At 54.5% G+C, this 1,644-nt stretch overlaps 1 annotated feature.

The window, feature by feature from the left end:
• Positions 326-620: an enhancer, noted in NCBI's record as "tiled region #5785; K562 Activating DNase matched - State 20:ReprD". NCBI's record gives its function as "activates a minimal TATA promoter and a strong SV40 promoter by Sharpr-MPRA in K562 cells {active_cell/tissue: K562}" and the evidence as "EXISTENCE:reporter gene assay evidence [ECO:0000049][PMID:27701403]".

Raw genomic sequence — 1,644 nt, 5'->3', positions numbered from 1 at the left:
CCCCACTGCCTCAGCCCCCCTCTGGAAACTGCTTCTGAGGCTGAAACTTTGGGTGCTGACAAGCATGGGAGGGAGGCCGGGGGCTGAGGGCACTCGGCCCAGGCCTGCTGGCCCCCGTTGATGTGGACAGCCTGGCAGCTGTGGATGGTGTGTTGATGGCAACAGAAGGCAGACAGGTTCTTAGGTGGGAAGGGGTGAGTCCCCAGTGAAACCCCACCTTCAAGCCAGGGAAGGCCTGAAGCTTGGGGGCCAGGCTGCCAGTTACAGGTGAAGTCCACGACCTGGAGTGAGAACTTCCATGATGCCTTTTGGCCAATCAAGTGGTGCTTTTCACGGCCTGGCCCATGGACCAATCAGCACACACTTCCTCCATTCTGAACCCATAAAATCCCTGGACTCGGCCTGACTCAGACACTCCTTGGGATGACCTGCCACAGATAGGAGCTGCCCACTTCAGGTCTCTTCTCTCTGCTGAGAGCTGTTTGGTCACCCAATAAGCACTTCTCTGCCTTGCTCACCGTCCAGTTGTCTGCATAACCTCATTCTTCCTGGGCACAAAACAAGAACTCAGGACCCGCCAAACAGCAGGAGGGAAAGGGGCTGTAACACGTGCCTGGCTGGCTCTCTGAGCTCTCAGACTGCAGGACTGAAGAGTGGTAACTCTTCCGAGGGCCCAGACCTGGAGATTCCCCAATGCAGCGCTGTAACACTATAGCCCTCCCTCTCTCTGCTGGCACCAGGCAACCACCCCACGCAATAGGAAGCAGTGGTGAGGCTGGGCCATCCCAGGAGCTGCGAGCCAGAGTGAAGCCACGGGACTGAAGAAGCTGTAACACAAACAGGCTGAAACATGCCATCCGCCAAACATCCCCACCCAACCCCGCTCACCATGCTGTGGGCAACGAGAAGGAGAGAAGAGCTGCAGCCCTTCTGGGAGCCCAGACCTCAGGGCTCCCGGAGCCAGGACTGTGACCTGCTATAACACCCTCTTTGGGGGCTCTGTGATTCCTGGCATCTCTGAGCTTTCAGGCGCCACCATGTTCCCCTTGTCCAGACGCCGGTGCTGGCAGCAAAAGCCGCTTGCGGTACCTCTGGTTCAGCCACAGCTTTGCACAGAGCCAGTGCCTGTGCCAGCGCCTGGAGCTGCCTGCCCCACCGCAGCACCTGGCATGCCTCACTGTGCTCAGTGGCCGGACCCTGCGCTCACTTGCTCACACACCCAACTCTGCTCCACGCCTGGCTCACCCTTGGCAGGCGTGGGATCCAGGCTGGTATCTCTGAGCACAGCCTGCAGGGCCAATCGAGTGGAACAAGACCAGCAGGCGCGAGCAAAACTCAAGCAGAGGCGCCGCCAGCCACAGAGGTTTCTGGCTGGTGAACAACACCCAGAGGATTTTGTGATAGCAGGAGTAAAGGTAAAATAGAGAAAACACTAGAAATTTACCTATTGCTTCCTATAATGGAACCAATAGGGGAAATAGTTAAATAAATAAATAAATAAATAAATAAACAAACAATTTGAGTTAAGAGAATAAAGCACTCATCAAAGCACTGTTTGTGATAAAGAAAACACTAGAAATTTCCCTATTACCTCCTGTATTGGAACCAATAGGGGAAATAGTTAAATAAATAATACAAATTTGA

Source organism: Homo sapiens, chromosome 3 (genome assembly GCF_000001405.40).
Source record: "Homo sapiens chromosome 3, GRCh38.p14 Primary Assembly".
In the NCBI taxonomy this organism is placed as follows: Eukaryota; Metazoa; Chordata; class Mammalia; order Primates; family Hominidae; genus Homo; species Homo sapiens.
The sequence above is the reverse complement of the archived record's forward strand: the minus strand, read 5'-3'. Positions and strand labels throughout refer to the sequence as shown.